Genomic DNA, 22,641 nt, shown 5'->3' with positions numbered 1-22,641 from the left:
GCTAGTCACTGTTTCCTTTATGATGATAAAATAATACAAATTTATCACCAAAACTCAATGAACACAGGAATGTAGAAAGTTTTGTATATTGCATTCCTCCAAAAGAGCCATGAGTAGTTTGAGGTATATATTCTCCACTGTGTTTGTAATGTGCTTGCTTGTCCTCATCTGGGGATTTCACCAAGAAGATCCCACAACAACCCACTAGGAAGGGTCCCCCTACTCCTTTTCTAGTGAGTCGTTATAAGAGTCTTCTTGGTGGAGTCCCCGAAGGAGGTCTGAGAGCCCTCTCATCACTGGAGGAAGTGAGACCCCTCAATTATGACCATTGTTCCTCAACTGTGCTCTTTTTCTGTAATTTAGGCCCTGACAGGAAATGAAAAAGATGTAGGGAGAGCCAGAGAGAGGCCAGGGGCTGAGCCCAGAGTTTTCCAGGGCCTCCCAGAATGTTCAGGGTCACTGTTGGCAATGGGAGAGGGGTTTTTATTCTCCCTGCCATTCTTGGGAATTACATTTTGAAGCAGAGAAGTTAGGAGACTTCCTGGAGATCAGATTGTTTTCTGGCTTTTCAATGAACCCTAGGCCTCTTCCAAATAACTATGCATGAAAGTTATACAACAAGTTTTTTGGAAATTCATTCAAAATATCAGAAGCTGTATCTAGGAAGCAACTTTTATTGGCTGCCATTTTGTTTCAAAATAATAAATATTGTAGTTTTAAAATACTCTTTAGAAAGGAGAGTGGTGGGAACACTTTAAGATAGCGAACTAAAGGTATTCATTTACCTCCTCCTCCAAAACTTTTATCAAATGACAAAAACAATTTTAACTGTCAAAATGAAGATAAAAACATTTTAGAGAAATTTCTGGGAACATGGAAAGCAGATGAGATTATAGGAACAGATAACCCCTCAGCCAAAATAAACATAGGAAAAAATAGCAGGGGAGGAGGCAGGCTTTCTTACCCAGAGTTAGGAAGAGGCACAACTGTGGGAGCAAGGATGTAGAACACAGAAAATTCAGAGAACAGAAGGTAATTTTTAAAAGTCTAATTAGTATCCTCAGAAAGATTACAAAATATTGCATCCCTAAAATAAGACGCCACTCAGAAAATCAAGTAATCTTTAAAAAAGAAAAATTTCTTGGATATTGAAAGTCAATAGTTGATATTTAAAAATTCAACGGATTGAAAATTCAAATTTTTAATGGCTGGGAAAAAAAAAAGTCAAGGAAAAGCCTCTAGGGCAAAAGTGAGAAGACAACAGATAAGAGTTAAAAGATACAGACAACCAATGTAGGAGATCTAATACCTAGCTAATATGATTTCTGGAAAGATAGAACCAACAAAATGGAGAATAATGGAGAGAAACAAAGAAAAAAAGTTTCAGAGCTGGCAACATGAATCTTTGCAATGAAAGCTTGTATCATCAAGGTGAATGATAAAAGACTTACACCTAGCCTCATTCTCATGTGATTTTAGAATTATAAGGAGCAAGAGAAAATCTTAACAGCTCTCAGAGAAAGAACAGGTTATCTGTAAAGGAACAAGAAACAGATTACCAAATTATCATGAAGCTTCTAATTAATATCAGTAGCCTAGAGGAAGAATTTAAAAATGCACTGAAAAATCTGAGGGATGTTTATTTTGAACCTGAAATGTTATATCCAAATAAATGACTACTCAAGTGTGATTGCAAAATAAAGACATTCTCATACATGCAAAGATTTAAAAGTGTTACTATCCACAGATTCCAAGAGATTTAAGTAAGTTATTTAAGAAACCAAAAAAAAAAAAAAAAAAAAAGACATGGGAAATCAAGAAACATGAGAGGAATGCAATGAAAATATATCTCAGGATGGAAACTGTGCAGTAAGCCTGGAAAGCAATTGGTTCAAATTAGAACACACAGAGAGAGCTCTGAGAACGATTATTTCAAAAAGAAAAATTGATTCCCTGTAATAAAAAGTATGACTTAGAAGCTGAACAATCCTAGTGACAACTGAAAGCCCACTATAGTATTTAAATCAATAATTAGAATATTCTATCCAGTCCACTTCTGTTAATTAGACTTTTTGAGTAGCAGATCCTCCCCCTCTTCCACCTACTGCACACACTCTGTAGTGAAGTCACTACAGATAAATAAGAAAGAAAGAACAACCAAGATTCACAAGACATTTTAAGAAAGCCAGCCTGATGAAGAAGCATAAGGGTGGGACCATAAAGCAACTGACCTCTAGGAAAAGTTAGTCTAGTTAACAAAAGAGAATTCAGAAAAGTTTCTTGTTAATATCTTCAGAAAGATTCAGGAGGAAATCACACCCACAAAACAAGTATATAGAAGAATAAATATATTTTACCTCAATGTAAGTAAGAACTTTATAATAGCCAGATCTATCCAGAATTAAGATATAATGCATGAAAACATAACTGAAATGGGCTGGATGATTACTTGATAGGAATACTGGGTAACAGAATAGGAGTCAGATGGGTGCCTAGGAAATACAATATATGAAATCACTTACAAGCATAATATTTCATTATTGGAAGATTAATCTGACAGCAATTTACAAGATTAGGTGAAGGAGTAGATGAATGAAAGTGCAAAGAAGAGTCAGGGAGTTGCTGCAGTGATTCGGGAGAGATGCATGGCGGTGATGACACTGGAGATGATGAGAAAAGAGCAGACTCAAGAGATGACTCTGAAAGAGAAGTAATCAGATGCGTGAGCTAGATGGCCAACAGGGAGAAGCTGCGGGAGTAGCCAAGCCATTAATAGAGATGGTGAAGTTCAGAGGAAAGGAGTATTGGAAACCTTCAGGACGCACTTAAAATAGCTGATGGATTCAATGCAGCCTAGGATATGGCAGGAATATGGTGGATGGTGACACACCCATCAGCAGAATCCCATGGGGTGGGGAAGTCCTGGGAGGGCAAGCTGACTAAAACGATCTCTCTACTCAATTTGGTGCTGACTTTCCAAAAGTCAGAGAGAGCATCAACATCTCCAGAGGGCACCAACAGAACTCCCTAAACTGTGTACAGCCTCCTCAGAGATGCATCATCAGTCACGCTGTCGGCAGCATGATCTGGGACTCAGCCACTAACTTATCTGCGCACGCAGTGGTAAGTCCCTCCAACTTCTCTGGGCTTCAGGTTTTGTTCTGCTTTTGAGACAGGGTCTCACTCTGTCACCCAGGCTGGAGTGCAGTGGTGCAATCACGGCTCACTGCAGCCTCAAACTCCGAGGCTCAAGTGATCCTCCCACCTCGGCCTCCCAAGCAGCTGGGACCACAGGGCCACTACACCCCGCTAAATTTTTTTATTATTTGTAGAGACAGGGTCTCTCTACACTGCCCAGGCTGGTCTCGAACTCCTGAGCTCAAGCAATTCTCCTACCTCAGTCTCCTGAGTAGCTGGGACTTACTGGCACACACCACCACACCTAGCTATTTTTTTTTTTTTTTTTTTTTTTTTTGAGATGGAGTCTTGCTCTGTCACCCAGGCTGGAGTGCAGTGGCGCGATCTTGGCTCACTGCAACCTCTGTCTCCCAGGTTCAAGCAATTCTCCTGCCTCAGCCTCCTGAGTAGCTGGGACTATAGGCATGCACCACCACGCCCGGCTAATGTTTGTATTTTTAGTAGAGACAGGGTTTCACCATGTTGGCCAGGCTGGTCTCGAACTCCTGACCTCATGATCCACCCACCAAAGCCTCCCAGAGTGCTGGGATTACAGGCGTGAACCACCGCGCCCAACACCTGGCTAATTCTTTAAAATTATTATTTGTAGAGATGGGGTCTCCCTGTGTTGCCCAGGCTGGTCTTGAACTCCTGGGCTCAAGCGATCCTCCTGCCTTGGCCTGCCAAAGTTCCAGGATTACAGGCATGAGCCACTGCACCTGGCCTGGGCTTCAGTTTTTATGTGGAATGAGGATGATGGTATATATGATTTCTAAGGTTCTTCATATCACTGATATTTTAAGCTTTGGATATAGTTCTGATAAATGTGTCTTATACACCAATGGCATTACAAACAACTCTAGTGTCTTAAGTAAGAATAAAATAGGATTCACTAGATTACAAATTTTTGATGCCAAGCAAAGCAATTGTCTTCATCCCTACATTCCCAGCACCTAACATAGTGCCTGGCCCAGAGTAGAAAGGAGAGCAACGTGTGTTTTTGAATTCTTCTGCCTCCTAAAAACCAGGGCCTGTGCCTCCAAGGGGTAAGAGGCCCTCCCGTCACTGCACAGACTTCTTTACTGTCTCTATGAGTTCCTCTCCTGCCTCCCAAAATGCAGTCCCTTCCAGGGTCAGCCTCTGACTCATCATTTCCACACTTCTTCCTTGGTCAGTGCTCATTCCACAGGCTGCATCTATTTTCTCTATGCTAAAGGCTCCCAAATTTACATCTTCTCCAGAGCTCCTCGCTTTTTTCCAGCCTCTCACTCCAGTGACTTGACAAATCACTGAACGCTTGCTCACTGGCACTTGGAATCAGCAGTCCTTTCCTACTTCCTTACCAGCTCTCAAGATCTAAAATTATTCCTTTTCTTTTTACAGTGTGGTCTCAGTTTCACTGCTTATCAGCTGTATGATCTTGGACATGCTGCTTAACCTCCATGTGTCTCCCTTTCCTTAAGTGTAAAATAAAAATAGTACCTGCCACACAGGGCTCTGGTCAGGGTTCAGTGAGGTGACCCTGCGCACAGTCCGCAGTGCAGAGTAAACACTCAGTTAACTGTGGGGGGTCCTCCACCTCCTCCTGCTATTATTATTGTTGTTGTTATTATCATTATTATTATTTGAGACAGAGTCTCACTCTGTTGCCCAGGCTGAAGTGTAGTGGTGTGATCTCGGCTCACTCCAACCTCCACCTTCCAGGTTCAAGCAATTCTCCTGCCTCAGCCTCTAGAGAAGCTGAGATTACAGGCACCTGCCACCAAGCCCAGCTAATTTTTGTATTATGGCTGGGCATGGTGACTCATGCCTGTAATCCCAGTACTTTGGGAGGCCAAGCGGGGGGTGGATCACCTGAGGTCAGGAGTTCAAGACCAGCCTGGCCAACATGGTGAAATCCCGTCTCTACTAAAAATACAAAAATCAGCCAGGTGTGGTGGTAGGTGCCTGTAATCCCAGCTGTTTGGGAGGCTGAGGCATGAGAGTCGCTTGAACACGGGAGGCAGAGGTTCCAGTGAGCCGAGATTGCACCACTGCACTCCAGCCTGGGTGACAGAGTGAGACTCTGTCTCACAAAAAAAAGAAAGAAAGAAAAATTTGTATTTTTAGTAGAGACGGGGTTTTGCCATGTTGGCAAGGCTGGTCTCAAACTCCTGACTTCAGGTGGATTCGCCCACCTTGGCCCTCCAAAGTGCTGGGATTATAGGCGTAAGCCACCGCACCTGGCCATCCGCCTGCCATTATTATTATTAAAGGAGTTATTACCTGGTAAAATAATAACAGGAAAAGTGGAAGTGTCTCCATAGAATGAGGAGCAGGATAAGCACTTGAGTTTTTATTTTTCATTTTTTATACCGAATGTAACTAAAGCCTAAGCACTTGAGTTTTAAGTCAAAGAAAATCTAGGAAAAAGGGCAGGGCAGGAGGGGATTACTCATCTGTTGACAAGTGTAAATATGATTTCAGTATTACAAATGTCTCCTAAAACAGAAACAGAATTACCGGGAGGCCTGATGGGAGCACACACTAGGAACCAGTGGGGTGAGGGGCGTCTGTGTGGGCAGCTGCAGGGCAAACACCAGCAGTGTGAAAGCAGGGGTCCCAGGAGAGGGCCCGTGAGACTGGATCCAAATGGGAGTTGAGAATAAAGAGTGAAGAAGCCAGGCTTTACCCAAGAGCAGAACCACGGTACGATTCACTAAGAAGATACAGCATCACGTCCACAATATGCCTGCCAAAAATGCAGAGCCTGAATCTGACCATGGGGAAATTTGAGACAAACTGAAATTGAGGGGCAATCTACAAAATAACTGGCCTGCACTCCAACAATGTCAAGGTCATGAAAGACAAAGAAAGATTAGAGGGTTTTCCAGAATAAAAAAGAGACAAAAGAGACATGCGGACTAAATGCAGTACGTGATTCTGGACCGGATAGTGGACTATGAAACCCTGCTCTTTTTTTCTTTTGCTATAAAAGACACTACTGGGAAAACTGGCAAAGTTTGAATAAAGTTTGTAATTACAGAAGCATATTGTATCAGTGTTAATTTCCTGATTTTGATCATCCTGCTGTGGTTTTTAGGAGAATGCTTTGTTCCTAAGAAATGCACACTGAAGTATTTGGAGCAAAGGAGCATCATGTCTGCAACTTACCATTAAATGGTTTAGCAAGAAGTACAGATCTGCATCTCCATATCCATACATGTACACATACACACTGATACAGCAACTGCGGCAAAGTGTTAATAATGGGGGAGTCCGAGCAAGGGGTGGACGGAATTATTCTTGCAACTTTTCTGTAAATTGAAAATTTTTTAAAATAAGGAGTAACAGAGAGAGCGTGCACATGTGAGAGACACTTTCTCTCTTTTTTTTTTTTTCTTTTTTGAGATGGAGTCTCACTCTGTCACCGAGGCTGGAGTGCATTGGCACGATCTTGGCTGACTGAAACCTCCGCCTCCTGGGTTCAAGCAATTCTCCTGCCTCAGCCTCCTGAGTAGCTGGGACTATAGGCACACGCCACCACGCCCAGCTAATTTTTTGTATTTTTAGTAGAGACGGGGTTTCACCTTGTTGGCCAGGCTGGTCTTGATCTCTTGACCTCGTGATCTGCCTGCCTTGGCCTCCCAAAGTACTGGGCTTACAGGAGAGAGCCCCTGCACCCGGCCTGAGACACTGACTTTCACTACAGGTCAGCGAACATGCTTGAGCTGTCAAGAGGGGAATAGAAACATGGCAAGGGACAGGGCAGGCTATCCTGGCTGAGAGCGCAGAGCCCTGTGGCAGGAAGGAGCCACACCGCCCTGAAGCAGGTGAGACAGTTTTGAGAGACAGGGAGGAAGGTGCTTTTCCCACTCAGGTGTCCAAGGAATACAGATCAGGCTTCTAGGGACTCGCTGCATTGAGAGGGGAGAGGAAGCCTCAGCAGGCACTTTGGAGGTGAAAAAGGATCAAATTGGGAATGGAAGAAGAGAAACAAAGAAGTGAAGCTGAGCAGGAAAAGGAGGGAGATGAAGATGAGGAGAGTAAAGAGAGGGGAGAGGCAAGAGGAGAGGGAGGAGAGAGGGGACACATGACAGGGCTACCTGCCCTCCCAGCCTGCCCTCAGTGACCCAGGGCAAGTCCTTGATGCCCACACCCTCAGCCCTGCTGCCGTGGACAGCTCTGATTCCAGAGGGAGGGTCTGACCAGCTGAGCGCTCCAGGGAATCCCTTCCTACCCCATCCACTTCAGGCTCAGGAGAAGGGTCCCTCCACGAAGCCCTTTTAGTTTGTAGCCAAACCCCAAAAGCGTGTCTGGGACCAAGGTGTACCTCTAGAGCCCCACACCTGGACACAGGTGTGAGGAAGCCGAGCCGCCCGGGAGACACACTGGAGACACGTGGAAGTCTAAGGGCTGGCTCCATGGATTCATCCCTGTCCTCAGGAAGAGCTGGGGCACTGAAGGATGAGAAAGGTCATCCAAGGCTCAAGCCCTCCAGGGAGAGGCTCGGGCTGGGCCTCGGAGCATGGGAGGCCACGAATGTCTAAGCTGCAGCTCAGAAGACACCTGGGGCAGACCCCCTCGTTGCACAGGAGAGCCCTGGAGGACCTCCTGGATTGATTGCAGGATAACACTTAGGCTCCTGGGCTCCCGACCCTCCCAGAACTGCTGGGAATGGCACTGTGAAGTCACAGCCCCCCCTGGTGGCTCTAAACAGAAACCACATGTTCCCCAGAGCCCTCAGAACAGTTGGGTCTCCAAATCCCAGACTCAGGGATTTTACAGGTAGACAGAGGCCCTGCAAGAGCAAAGGGCCCATCTCTCGCCTTTTCCACATGAGGGAGCCCAGGAGAGGAGGATTCTTGCTCTAAGTTGTGATGCTAGACTTGTCACAGTTGTAAAGTTGTAAGACTCTTAGACTCTTGTGTGGTTAAAGCCAGTGTCTTTTGACACATCCTGGTCATTTAGTCCAGCACCCGGGCTTGGCTTGGGATGCTGGACAGGAGCAAGCTGACAAGCAGAATCATGACCTCTCCCCAGTCTGCCCGTACCTTTGTGGCCGCAGCCAACCTCCTTAAAGCTGGGCTTGAATCACAAGAGTGGCTGGCGTTAAGAGCCCCAGGCCAAGCTTCAGGGTTCTGGAGGCATGGGCTGGAATTCTGGGTGGCCACTTGCCTCTGTGTGCCACACACCCACCTCTCCATGATGTGAGGCTAATACCTCAGGTTGTTACAAAGATGAAGTGGCATCAGGAATGCAAAACACCCAGCCCACAGAAGGCACACTTTCCTTCTGTCACACTCCATGTTCTCTGCTCCTCTCAGCATCCACACAGCCCAGCTCACGGCAGGTGTATCCGTGGTTAGGGTCAGGGTCCTAACACGGGAAGGGACCACAGGAGGCTACCTGACGAGGCCTCAGCCCTCTGGCAGGCACTGGTGAGTCTAGAGAAGATGGGCTGGCAATTATCTTCAAGAATATGGCTGGGTCTCTTTAGAGAGGCATTTCTGTGTTATTGACTTACCCCTACACCCCCATTTGCCTAAACCCAGCTGTGATGGTTCCTTTACAACTCAAGTCCATCTCTGTTTCATCTGGTAAGTGAGCAGCACCTGCTAGCACCGCCTTCAGAGGAAACAATGTACATAGTCTCTTAGTTGCCCCTAAACCTAGCTTCTTTTCCTGGGGCTAAACAACTGTAATTATTCTTTATTCTCAACCTTTCTGTTTTCATCCTTCTCTTGTGAAAACTCTGGATTCACCCTGGTGTTTTTTGTTTGTTTGTTTTGAGATGGAGTCTTAGTCTGTCGCCCAGGCTGGAGTGCAATGGCACGATCTCAACTCACTGCAACCTCCGCCTCCTGGGTTCAGGCGATTCTCCTGCCTCAGCCTCCCGAGTAGCTGGGATTAAAGTGCCCGCAACCACATCTGGCTAATTTTCGTATTTTAGTAGAGATGGGGTTTCACCATGTTGGTCAGGCTGGTCTTGAACTCCTGACCTCAGGTGATCCACCCGTCTCGGCCTCCCGAAGCGTTGGGATTACGGGTGTGAGCCATCGCACCCAGCCTCACCACAGTTTTAGGAGTATTACAGCTGGGCGCGGTGGCTCACGCCTGTAATCCCAGCACTTTGGGAGGCTGAGGTGGGTGGATCACGAGGTCAGGAGATGGAGACCATCCTGGCTAAAACGGTGAAACCCCGTCTCTACTAAAAATACAAAAAAAAATTAGCTGGGTGTGGTGGTGGGTGCCTGTAGTCCCAGCTACTCAGGAGGCTGAGGCAGGAGAATGGTGTGAACCCAGGAGGCGGGGCTTGCAGTGAGCCGAGATCGCACCACTGCACTCCAGCCTGGGCGACAGAGCAAGACTCCGTCACAACAACGACAACAACAAAAAAAACAAACAAAAAACAAAAAAGAGTGTTACAAAATCAGCACAGGGGGTACACAGTAAATATTTGCTGAATGAACTATTGAAAACTGAACAAGATTCACTAACTTGAGACTAATTGATGCAAAATGTAAAGGGGTTTCTCCACTCCAGTGGCACTACTGTCATTTATCACAGCTGGTAAGCTGAGCTCTCCCGCGCCCCCTGTGATGGGTTGGTGCTGGCTCAGATGCAGCTCCAGCTCACCCTGATGAAGCCCCAGGCCTGGGTCCCCTAGGCCTTATTTCTCCGCTTTCTTTTAAACTCATTATGGTGCTGGCTTTGTTCCCTAAATAGATCATTTTTCCCTCCTATATTTCATCACAGTTCTGTATAGGTTTCTTTCCCCAGTTTATCGAAGTCACTCTGGACTTTACTTCTATCTCTCAGGGCAGCCATAATCCCAGGGATGAACTTCAGCACAGGCTGAAATATCAATGAACTGATTCTTCTATTCAAGAGACAGAATTAAAACAGGCATAAGGGCCAGAGCCCTTGAAAGATCACTTTAAATGTCCCTTTAGGTTAATGTCAAGTCACTGAAAATTGTCCCCTCACTACAACTCTCAAGTCAGTTATCCAACTGAGTGTTAATATAAAAACACTCAAAATTAAAAATAAATATGTCTAAAACAGAGGTGCAAGGGAAGACGTTTTAGTATAACTTAAAACTACTTTTTTATTTAAGACAAAGTCTTGTTCTGGTGTCCAGGCTGGAGTGCAGCAGTGTGATCTGGGCTCACTGCAGCCTCTGTCTCCTGCGTTCAAGCAATTCTCCTGCTTCAGCCTCCTGAGTAGCTGGGATTACAGGCACCCACCACCACACCCAGCCAATTTTTGTATTTTTAGTAGAGACGGGGTTTCACCATGTTGGCCAGGCTGGTCTCGAACTCCTCACCTCAGGTGATCCACCCGCCTCGGCTTCCCAAAGTGCTGGAATTACAGGCGTAAGCCACCATGCCTGGCTTAAAACTACTTTTTGATAGTCAACCTCAATAGTCATCAAAGGAATATAAAGTAAACTGCAAAATGCCAAAATCTTTGGACTACCAACCTGACAAGTATATGTATACATTCAAAGTCATTCATGCCTAGTATTGGAAGGGTGAGGGATGGGAAGGAAAGCAGGCCACATTTCTGGAGAGCTACTGAGTCACAGGAACGAGAAGCTTTAAAGACAAATATTCTGAACCTACAATCTCACTTCTGGAAAGGTACCCTAAGGAGACGATTAGGGACGCTCACAGTCATGTGGCTTTATAGATCCCCATCATGGCACAGTCCATGTAGCAGAAGACTGGGGTCCAGCACCCACATGGCAGGGGACTGCCCAAAGAAATGATAGACCCGCCTTATACTGGGAGACCATGGCAGCCTTGAACAGGCTGCAGAGCTGTGTGTGCTGGCTTGGAAAGAGGTTTCTAAGTGAAACAGCAAGATGTGTATACCACAGTGTCCACTATTGTCCATTTTTTGTAAAAGCATATTTTTATATATGTCCTATAAAGGAAAAAAAAAAAGTCTGGAAAGAGCTGGGTGCAATGGCTCATGCCTGTAATCCCAGCACTTTGGGAGACCAAGGCAGGTGGATCTCCTGAGGTTTGGAGTTCAAGACCAGCCTGGCCAACATGACAAAACCCCGTCTCTACTGAAAATACAAAAATTAGCTGGGGGTGGTGGCACCTGCCTGCAGCCCCAGTTCTCAGGAGGCTGAGGCAGGAGAATTGCTTGAATCCGGGAGACAGAGATTGCAGTGAGCTGAGATCGCACCAGTGCACTCCAGCCTGGTCGACAGAGCAAGACTCCGTCTCAAAAAAAAAAAAAAAAAAAAAAAGAAATACAAAAATTAGCTGGGCATAGGGGCACACACCTGTAATCTCAGCTACTCAGGAGACTAAGAATCACTTGAACCCATGCAGCAGAGGTTGCAGTGAGCCAAGATCACACCACTGCACTCCAGCCTGGGCAAAGAGTGAGACTGTCTCAAAAAAAAAAAAAAGTCCAGAAAGAGATAGTCCAAAACGTTAACATTCACTGACTGAATCACTGGATTATAGGTGATTTTTATTTTCTTCTTTTAATTGCTGTTTTAAATTTTTATATGTTGATATTTATTACTAGCACAGAACAAGAATGACAAGGCTTTTGTTTTGGTGTCTAAGTAAAAGTGCTCTCTTTGTTGCTCTGTCCACAGGCTCCACAGCTATCGGCCCATCCTAAGGACATGGATACACCTGATGTGTGGGCAATGACCCAGAAGGTCAAATCATTCTACAGCAGACACAATCACAACAAGGCTTCGCTGTACAGGAACCAGCTCCAGGTCCCAGCAGACAGCTGCTCGGTCGGTCTGCTTTCTCCAAAATTGATTACGGCAATGATAATTAAAGTAGCCTAATGAAGGACTTTGTATTGAGGGGAGCAGCAGATCTTGAAGTAGAACTCTCAGATTTGAGATTTAGCTCTGCCACTATGTCATTTAGAGCCACTTTTAAATCTCTGTCAGCCAGCTTCTTTAGCTGTAAAACAGTGATCTAATCATGCCTGCTTTTACAGATTTCATCAGGTTGCTGTGAGGTTAAAAAAAAATCCAAGTGAAAATGACATATGAAGTATAGGCACTTTATGAGTGTTCCCTACTCAAGCACAGTACTGTTGTCTCATGCTCTCTTTCTGTTAATAGCACCTCAATTCTACTCTGGGGGACATTCCTCCTCTCTTTTTGGTCTGGAATGTCCCCTGGCTTCAGGGACAGCTCAACATGGGCCTGGACAGTCAAATTCCATCCCCAAGCTTGGGACTCAGGGAGACCATCCAGTGACTGTTCCTGAAGTGCTGGGAAGGCAGAGCTCCCTTTCTGCGGGGTGCTGAGTGATGGGACGACAGTGTGGAGCTACTGGGCTCTCCAAGCCGGTGCCCAGGACCAGCCTGCCTGAGAACGAAGCCAGCAAGGGAAAGCCGAGCATGACTGATGGGACAGGGCAGGCTCCAGCACGTTGAGGGCGGCACGCCGAGTGCTGGAGCTGGAAGCCTGTTCCTGGACCCCCGTTCTTCAGCCAATAAAGTCCCCTTTTATCAGACAGGCCCGTGAGCCTGTCTGAGTTGGGTATCTAGGACTTGCCAACCCCAAAGATTAAAGTGTTTCTTGCAGAACACTTTAATTTGCTCACTCACTAGGAAAATTAAAACTGCATGCAAGACAATTTCCTTAAGGAGCTTAGAAAATGAAAGGGCTAGAGGGGTCAGTGGGGACAGTCTCGAATGAGTAGGTAACCTGAGAGACTGCTCCTAATCATTAACAATTGTGCATGAATTAACTGGTCAGGCTGTAACTTCACTTGATGCTAGCTGGTGGAGCAGCAATTCGCATTCCATGTTTTTTTCCCTGCTTTGTTGAGGTTGCTCTTTTCACTTGAAATGTCACAGAATCATAATATTTTCAAGCTGCAAAGACTTCAATCTATTATTCCCAGGTCTCATTTTGCAGATGAAGAGACTGAAGCCAACATTAGAAAAGCAGCACACTCAAGGTCACACTGCTCATTATCCACCAAGCAGAAACTCCACCAGCTGTTTTTCCCACTGGGCCCGGGGACCATCATTACAGATGGAGAAGGAAGGCATCAGCTCTACCTGAGGCCCAACACACTAGAAATGGGATGTATGACAAAGTCCTAGTGACAGAATGGACTGGTTTCCTGTCTCACATGTGTCATCAATGTGCTCCCTTGGCAAGAAGCCAGGCCCAGGGCATCAGTGCTCAGGGATACCGACTCCAGATTCGGCTCTGCCACACACAAGCTGTGTGGCCTTGGGCAAAGGTCTGAACCTCCCTTGGCCCAGCTCACCATTTGTCAAGCAAAGAGAATAACTGCCACCTGGCTGAGCTCACAGAATGGTTGTGAAGTCCAAATGAGCTAACTCAAAATTCTATGGAGCCAGGCGTGGTGGCTCACGTCTGCAATCCCAGCACTTTGGGCGGCCGAGACGGGCAGATCACGAGGTCAGGAGTTTGAGACCATCCTGGCCAACATGGGGAAACCCCGTCTCCACTAAAAATACAAAAATTAGCTAGGCATAGTGGTGCACCCCTGTAATCCCAGCTACTTGGGAGGCTGAGGCAGGAGAATCACTTGAACCTGGGAGGCGGAGGTTGCAGTGAGCCAAGACTGTTGCACCATTGTACTCCAGCCTGGGCAACAGAGTGAGACTTCATCTAAAAAAAAAAAAAAAATCTATGGAAAAATGGTGATAAGTACCACATAGAATATGACATTAGTGCTAGTCTCCAGCAAAATCACTGTGCTGAGAGGTGACATGACAGGGCAGAGAGGCTTTGGAGTCTAATAACTTGGGTTTGAATCCTGATTCTTACATTTACTTGCTGGGCTGTAAATTCAAACTCCCTAAGCCTCAGGTTTGCTTATCAGCTAAATGGAAGTAAGAATATATACTTACATTTTTCAGTGGACGTTAAATGAGAACCCACAACCCCTAACATAGTGCTGGGCACATACTGGGTGTTGAATACATTGATTGATGTACTTGTACTTGATCTGAGATTGGCCTGTCTGCAGCATGGTTTTCAGCAGTCCCTGCTACTGCTGCATGGAGTTCAATGTCCCTAATGGCCATGTTAGGATAGCACTTGGCACAGTCAATCTGGACTCTGCAGGACTCCCAACCCAGGCATGCCCTCTCAAGGTTCTTTTGACTCCTCCAACCCCCAAGAGGTGATCCACCTCCTTCTCCCCAAGAACCCCTAGACAGAAGCCTGTGGCTCCGGGGCACAAGAGCAGACAAGAATAGGGGGGTAGGGCACGCCACTGTCCCCTGGGCTGCCTCCTACACCAGCCTGACTATTCGCTGTCAGCCTGCCACCTTAGCCACTTTCTCTTCTGTCATGTCCTAATCATATGCCATCAAGGTGCTGCAAGAAAACAGAAGCAGGGGTCACTAGCCTGATTTCAGGGCCACTGCCAGTACACGGAGATGTCCCCTCTGGGCAAATGAATTAGAAAAAGGTGCTCCTCCCACCCAGCCCATGGCCTGGTTGGCAGGGTGTATGCTGGACTTCAGCTCCAACTCCCATGCTCGGTCAGGAGCCCCGGACAGGGCACCACCAGCATAACCACGTGCACTGGTCCTGCTCATTGGTCAGAGCTGGCAAAAGCCTCTTGAAGCTAGTCCTCTTGAGCTAGGTACTCAAGGACGAATACATATCCACTAGCACATCAGGATGGAGAAGAGCTTCCCAGCAGATGGGACAAGAGGAACAAGTGCATCACAGGCTTAGGGAATAGGCCAGGCTGTTGTCAGTGAGAAGACACTGACTCTAGATCCAGCTCCATTACATCCAAGCAATGTGTCCTTGGGCAAAGCACCCTACTTCCCCATGCCTCAGTTCAACTCTGCCAAGCAAGGAAGAGAACAAGCTGATGATGAGCTAATCAGATGCATGCTGGAGCAAGGAAGGAGAAGAGGCTGGGGAAGGCTGGGGCCGGACTATCAAGAGCATTTTCTGCCATGCTAATAAGTTCAGCCTTTAACCTGTGGGCTTTGGGGTTTGAGAAGGGGTTTGTTTGCTAGTTTGTTTGAGAAGAAGATGGGCAACTCCAGTTTTTTCACAGGATCATGGTCAGGTAGTACAGAGAAGAGATTGACCTGAGGAAACGTAAGGCGAGGGGACAGGTCAAGAGAGGAGCAATGAGGGACAGGACTGAAGCAACTCTCCTCCCTGCACCTGCCTGGCCTCCTGGCCTCCTCCCTGCACCTCCTCTGCCTCCTGGCCTCCTCCCTGCACCTCCCTAGCCTTCTGCCCATCCTGGGTAGGGTGATTGGTATCTCCACCTCACAGCCAAGCTGTATGCAGCTGTGGTGAGGACTAGAGACAATCGAGGCAAAGGCCTATGCATAGCCGGTATTCAATGAATGAGAGCTATTTTTATTCTTATGAGACCTAGGGAAGGAAATGGGAGAGGAAGAGACATGAACTGAAAGAAAAAGAAAGGGAAACGAATCCCCTGGGGAGGGGGGAGGACAACAAATCGAGCTCATCAAGGCTTCAGGGCCCTCCACTGTGGTCCTGAGGCCAATGCTCTCTGCGTGACTGCTTACCTCACACTAGACGCTCAATAGTCTCAACAAAAGGGAAAGGCCAGAAAAAGACCCAATAATTGTCTGGTACAATGTAAAAGTTTGTTTAAATCATTCCTTGGCCAGGCACAGCGGCTCACACCTGTAATCACAATACTTTGGGAGGCTAAGGTGGGTGATCACTTGAGGTCAGGAGTTCAGTCAGCCTGGGCAACACGGTAAAACCCACCTCTACTAAAATTACAAAAATTAGCTGGGCATGGTGGCACGCCTGTAATCCCAGTTACCAGGGAGTCTGAGGCAGGAGGATCACTTGAACCTCGGAGGCAGAGGTTGCAGTAAGCAGAGATCACACCACTGCACTCCAGCCTGGGCAACAGAGTGAGACTCCATCTCAAAACAACAACAGCAACAAAATATCATTTCTTTAAAATGATAAGAGGACAGATTTATCAATGGATGCCGCCATGACAATAGATGATCTATATGGAGAAAATGAAATTAGATCCTTATCTTACACCACACACAAAAATAAATTACAGCTAGATTGGACTTAAATGTAAAAAATTAAGCTAAAGAATAGAAGGGGCCAGGCGTGCTGGCTCACACCTGTAATCCCAGCACTTTGGGAGGCTGAGGCAGGTGGATTGCTTGAGCCCAGGAGTTCAAGACCAGCCTGGGAAACATGGCAAAACCCTGTCTCTACAAAAAACAGAAAAATTAACCAGGCGTGGTGGGGTACACCAGTAGTCCCAGCTACCTGGGAGGCTGAAGCAGGAGGATCGATTGAGCCCAGGAGGTCAAGGCTGCAGTGAGCTGAGATTGTGCTGCTGCACTCCAGCCTGAGGTACAAAGCGAGACCCTGTGTCCAAAAAATAAAAATAATTTTAAAAAAAGAATTTACATTAAAAAAAAAGAATAGAAGGAAGAAAGGTGCATGTATCTCAAGGGCAGAAAGTATTTTCTAATCATAAAGTAAAGAAAAACACATAAAAACATTTTAAAAGAAGTAATTTTGCTGGGTGTGGTGGCTCATGCCTGTAATCCCAACACTTTGAGAGGCTGAGGCAGGTGGATCACTTGAGATCAGGAGTTTGAAACCAGCCTGGCCAACATAGTGAAATCCCATCTCTACTAAAAATACAAAATTAGCTGGGCGTGGTGGCACATGCCTATAATCCCAGCTACTTGGGAAGCTGAGGTAGGAGAATTGCTTGAACTTGGGAGGCAGAGGTTGCAGTGAGCTGAGATCACACCATTGCACTCCAGCCTGGGTGACTAGAGCAAAACTCCATCTCGAAGAAAAAAAAAGTAATTTTAAGCTTATAAAATATTTAATTTCTTTATGCCAAAAATTATAATAAAAATACAAGCAGTTGACAAACTGGAAAAATGTTTTCTACGTATGTCAGAGGAAAGTTAGTATCCTTTTTCAGATTTGTACAGGGATAAGAAAAAATTAAAGACTCAATAGAAAAAAACAGGAAAGTAATAATAATAGCTAATAGTCACAGAGCACTTAACAATGTGCCAAGCACTGAGCTGAGTGCTCGAAATGTATGATGGTGTGTGAACCTCACAACCCTGTGAGGTAGGTATATAATTATCTCCATTTCCTAGATGGGAAACTGAGGCTTAGGGTTAGTTACTCGCCAAAAATTGCATCACTGTTAAATGACAGCACTGGAGCCTTCCTGACTCCAAAGCCTGTTCTCTTAACTACACTGTGCTTCAAATAAAAAAGAAGAGTGATAAGTGGTCACTATTTTTGTGTATATGTATATTCTATAGAATACACATATTCTGTATATAATGAACGTACACATATGTTTTGTACATATATGAGTTAAAATATACTAGTAATCAAAGGCCATTATAATTTTTCCTATCAAACTGACAAGGGAAAGAGAGAACACTTGGTGGGGGGTGCGGCGTTCATTCTCTTCGTCTCCTCCCATATCTGGCCACCTCTCTACACCACTTTCCCTGCAGGCTCCCATCTTCATCCCTTCCCTGGTCTCACTGTGCCTAGAGATGGTAAGCACTCAGCTGTTGCTAGCCACAGATCCTTAGCCAAAGGACTTGTGAGTCCTTTGGTAGTTCACCTGTATCCAGCCCATACCTTCATAAATCTGCTGCTTCATAAACAAACTCTCCTTAGATTGTTTTAATTTGATTGTGTCTTCTGTTTCCGCGTGGGATGCTGACTGATACATCTTTTTTTTTTTTTTTTTCTGAGATGGAGTCTCGCTCTGTCCCCCAGGCTGGAGTGCAGTGGTGCAATCTCAGCTCACTGCAACCTCCACCTCCCAGGTTCAAGCAACTCTCCTGCCTCAGCCTCCTGAGTAGCTAGGTTCACAGGCGTCCGCCACCACACCTGGCTAATTTTTGTATTTTTAGTAGAGACGGAGTTACACCATGTTGGCCAGGCTGGTCTCGAACTCCGGACCTCATGATCTGCCCACCTCGAACTCCCAAAGTGCCGGAATCACAGGCGTGAGCCACGTGCCCGGCCCTAATACATCTTTTGACCTATCAATTTTATTCTAGAAATTTATCCTAAGGAAACCACCAGGAAGGTGCGAAAATGTGTAAGGATATTTGTAGCAGAATTAAAACTGAAGACAACCTAAGTATTCAACAGTAGGGAACCAGTTTAATACACCTGATGACCCACATGATGAAATATAACGTAGTTGTTAAAAATCAGGGCTGGGCACGGTGGCTCATGCCTGTAATCCCAGCACTTTGGGAGGCCGAGGTGGGCACATCACCTGAGGTCAGGAGTTCGAGACTAGCCTGACCAACATGGAGAAACCCTGTCTCTACTAAAAAAAATACAAAATTATTCGGGCATGGTGGCACATGCCTATGATCCCAGCTACTCAGGAGGCTGAGGCAGGACAACCGCTTGAACCTGGGAGGCGGAGGTTGTGGTGAGCCAAGATGGCACCACTGCACTCCAGCCTGGGCAACAAGAGCAAAACTCCGTCTCAAGAAAAAAAAATCAAGTTATAAGCCAGGCACAGTGGTTCACAGCTATAATCTTAGCACTTTGGGAGGCCAAGGGAGGAGGATCGCTTGAGCCCAGGAGTTCAAGACCAGCCTGGGCAACATAGCAAGACCCCATCACTACAAAAAAATGAAAAAATTAGTCAGGCATGGTGGCACATTTTTGGTCCCTGCTACCTACGAGGCTGAGGTGGGAGGATCGCTTGAGCCCAGGAGTTCGAGGTTACAGTGAACTATGATCACACCTGAACAATGGAGCAAAACCTCAACTCTAAACATAAATAAATAAATAATAACATGTTGTCCGGGTGCGGTGGCTCAGACCTGTAATCCCAGCACTTTGGGAGGCCGAGACGGGCAGATCACTTGAGGTCAGGAGTTAGAGACCAGCCTGGCCAACATGGTGAAACCCTGTCTTTACTAAAAATACAAAAATTAGCTGGGTGTGATGGCGCATGCCTGTAATCCCAGCTACTCGGAGGCTGAGGCAGGAGAATCACTTGAACTCAGGAAATGAAGGTTACAGTGAGCCAAGGTCACGCCACTGCACTCTAGCCCAGGTGACAGAGCAAGACTCCATCTCAAAAAAATAAATAAATAATAACATGTTTAAAAATCAGGTTATAAATGGATATTTAACAATGCGGAAATATACTTATGAAATATTTTGAGTGAAAACAAAATGTCCCTATGATTCCAATTTTGCACATAAAGTGACTAGAACAATGTATCCCCAAACTACTAATAGTAATTATCTTTCAATTATCAGGTTATAGGTAGTTTTTATTTTTTATTTTATTTTATTTTTTTTTGAGATAGAGTTTTGTTCTTGTCGCCCAGGCTGGAGAGCAGTGGTGCGATCTCAGCTCACTGCAACCTCCACCTCCCGGGTTCAAGCCATTCTCCTGCCTCAGCCTCCTGAGTAGATGGGATTACAGATGCCCGCAATCATGTCCAGCTAATTTTTGTATTTTTAGTGGAGACAGGGTTTCACCATGTTGGCCAGGCTGTTCTCAAACTCCTGACCCCAAGTGATCCACCCGCCTCAGCCTCCCAAAGTGCTGGGATTACAGACGTGAGCCACCACACCCAGCCTTATTTTCTTCTTTGTATTATTTTTGTGTGTTTCAGATTTTCTACAATGTTCATGTGTTCTTTTATAATTAGAAAAGGTAAATCCAATAAATATTACCTATTTTAAAAAGAAAAATTAAAGGTTAAGTTCTGTAACACCTTGCCCCATGTGCACACACAATCACACCAATTCCTCAGTCCCTACTAAGAGATGGGGCCCTGCTGGCCCAGGACATTGGTGGAGGGGCCATGCCTGCATCTGTATCAATGTCAGCTCATGGCGGTGGGCATTCAAACCTGGAGCCCTAGGCCTCGGGCTTTCTTCGGGACCCAAATGTTCACCAGCTGGGCTCTGTAGATCCAAACACCAGCTCTAGCTCTGGTGCATGACTGAGGGAAGGGCGGTTAGAATGCCTCAATTGCTGGTCGGATAGACTCAAGGAAACATGGATCAGCTGACCTTGTGGCAATCTTCAACAGAGACAGCATAGAGCAGTAGGGAAAAACAAAACAATGAGCCCCAGGGCTTGGAAAGCCATAGGTCTGAATCATGACTGAGCATCTGAGCTGCTGTTTGACCTCAGGCCAGCTTTTAACCTCTCAGTCTCAGTGTTTTCTTGTCTACAAGGGGGGTCATATTACTTATCTCTCAGGTTATAAGCATCAGATTGAATTAAATGAGCACAGAATAAAGGCTCCCTAAACAGTGGTTAGTATTAAAGAGAAAGGGCCTCCTGGGCCTGTGAGACATTCAGGGTCCCAGAGCCTTTGCTCTGATGTGCAGGTAAACAGCAGCAGCATGGTAAAAACTGTAGGGAGAGAGAAGAGATGCTTCTGGCAAGGAAATGGTCACCTGGTGTTTTGCCTAGACACTTGGCTGGCACTCAACACATGCTCTGTAGGTAAGAAGAGCTACCTGCAGTGGGTCCCAGGTCCAGACTTGAGTCATTCAGCTCTTCCTCCTCTTCCCAGAAGTACTGTGGTGGCTGCAGAATCCGAGACTCTTCATTCTCTTCGCTGGGGAAGCCTGAGCCAGGGGCTCCCAGCCCAGCTCCCAGGCCCATGGTCTCACTAGGCTCCTCTGAGTCCAGTGGCTCCAAGCCAGTGGGCAGCAGGAGGTCTAGCAGGGAGGTGGAGGTGAGGCCCTCTGGGCCAGGCTCATCAGACCCAGCCACACAGGCACCCAGGAACGCTCCTGTGCAGACATAAAAGCCAGACAGTCAGGGGAGGCTAGAGAAGACACAAGACTGGTGCCAGGTTAGAGCATGTCTCAAATGACAAAGGTCCTGGGGAAGGGGGGACTTCAGTGGACACTCCTGAAAACCCAGAGGCTTTGCGGGGATTCTGAGACACTATTTTCATTTCAAAAAGGCCAAATTGCTTAGACTTCCCTATGGCAGGGGCAAGGGGAGACAGATGGAGACAGGCAGGGGAGAGAGAGGAATCACTGAGTCAGTGTTCCACTGCGCATGTGGTCACTCAGAAAATGCCTCCTGAGTACCCTCTCTCTGTTGGCAATTGTACTGGGTGTTGGAGCTACAAACTGAAGTGAAGACAGGGCCCATGCTTTTAAGGACCTAGCAGTATGATTGGACGAACACAGTGTTCCCCAGGCTTCCATCCTTGGCTGAAATTTCTCCAAAACTGCATTATGAATATCATTTGTATTTCAGCAATACAGTATCCTGAACATAGTCTTTAGTTTTTTTATTTTTTATTTTTTTTGAGATGGAGTCTTGCTCTGTCGCCCAGGCTGGAGTACAGTGGTGCAATCTTGGCTCACTGCAATCTCCGCCTCCCAGGTTCAAGTGATTCTCCTGCCTCAGCCCCCCAAGTAGCTGGCATTACAGGTGCCCACCACCACGCCTGGCTAATTTTTGTATTTTTAGTACAGACAGGGTTTCGCCATGTTGGTCAGGCTGGTTTTGAACTCGTGACCTCAAGTGATCTGCCCTCCTAGGCCTCCCAAAGTGCTGGCATTACAGGCGTGCGCCACTGAGCCCAGCCTCTGAACGTAGTCTTTTAAAAAACCACGTGAGGTCACAGTTCAAACTCAACCCAGTGCTGGTAATTTGACATATTTGTTTAGAATCTTGGATTCTCTCTCTCTCCTAATTTACCAAAACAAGCAAATAAATGGACAGGAAAACAAATTAAAGGAGGCCTTTTTCCTCTTCTTTCACTCTCATTCTTTAAGGACAGGAATATAGCCCTATTTGCCAGTTTCACAACTTAACCTCTAACTTAATGACCTAACCACACAAATTACTAACTTGCTGTGAGGCTCCTGGAAAGCTGCTCAAGACCTCTGGGTCTCAGTCTCCTCACCAGATAGACAAGGAAGCTAAATGAAATGACCTCTGAATTCTTTTCCAAGACTAACACTTAAGGATCTAGGGAAGAGGGAATTTCACAGTCTTCCTCTTGCTCTACACCAGATGTGTACTGTGACCTGACTTGACTACAGTACATGGCAATTTTTAGTGATGCTTATAATAAAAATAGGGCTAATATTATTGGTGCCATGTGCTTTGCTGAGCAGGCCCTAAGCTTGATACGTGCCAATACTGTGACTGGCCACTGAAAAAAATGAGCATTTCAGACTGTCCTGTGAGTCTCCGTATGAGGGAGTCTGTGCACACTGTGCAGCAGCCAGACAACTCACAGCCAATAATGCCACATCCAGCCACAGGGGTGTATTCTGGGTTGTGTGGATGGGGGATGGGAAGTAGAGACTCCAGGGTAAGAGAGACGCCCTGAGGTCAGAGACAGGAAGATGTTCTATATAACAGGAGAGAAAGCCTGGTACCAGGAAATAGGTTACACTCTGGCTTCTCTGGCTGAGTGACTTCACCACCACCAGCCTTGCTC

At 46.2% G+C, this 22,641-nt stretch overlaps 1 protein-coding gene across 1 annotated transcript in view, besides 1 other annotated feature; it reads right to left on the bottom strand.

The window, feature by feature from the left end:
* PODXL2 (podocalyxin like 2) overlaps window positions 1-22,641 on the bottom strand; it is a 43,618-nt gene that overhangs the window by 12,593 nt on the left and 8,384 nt on the right. The window contains exon 2 of the mRNA NM_015720.4: window positions 20,687-20,965. Coding sequence (NP_056535.1) covers window positions 20,687-20,965 — 279 coding nt within the window. The remainder of the gene's footprint in view (window positions 1-20,686; window positions 20,966-22,641) is intronic.
* Window positions 20,865-21,365: an enhancer, noted in NCBI's record as "H3K4me1 hESC enhancer chr3:127357688-127358188 (GRCh37/hg19 assembly coordinates)". NCBI's record gives its function as "activates a minimal SCP1, AML or CMV promoter by ChIP-STARR-seq in primed H9 embryonic stem cells {active_cell/tissue: H9 hESC(primed)}" and the evidence as "EXISTENCE:reporter gene assay evidence [ECO:0000049][PMID:30033119]".

Source organism: Homo sapiens, chromosome 3 (assembly GCF_000001405.40).
Source record: "Homo sapiens chromosome 3, GRCh38.p14 Primary Assembly".
Lineage (NCBI taxonomy): Eukaryota > Metazoa > Chordata > Mammalia > Primates > Hominidae > Homo > Homo sapiens.
The sequence above is the reverse complement of the archived record's forward strand: the minus strand, read 5'-3'. Positions and strand labels throughout refer to the sequence as shown.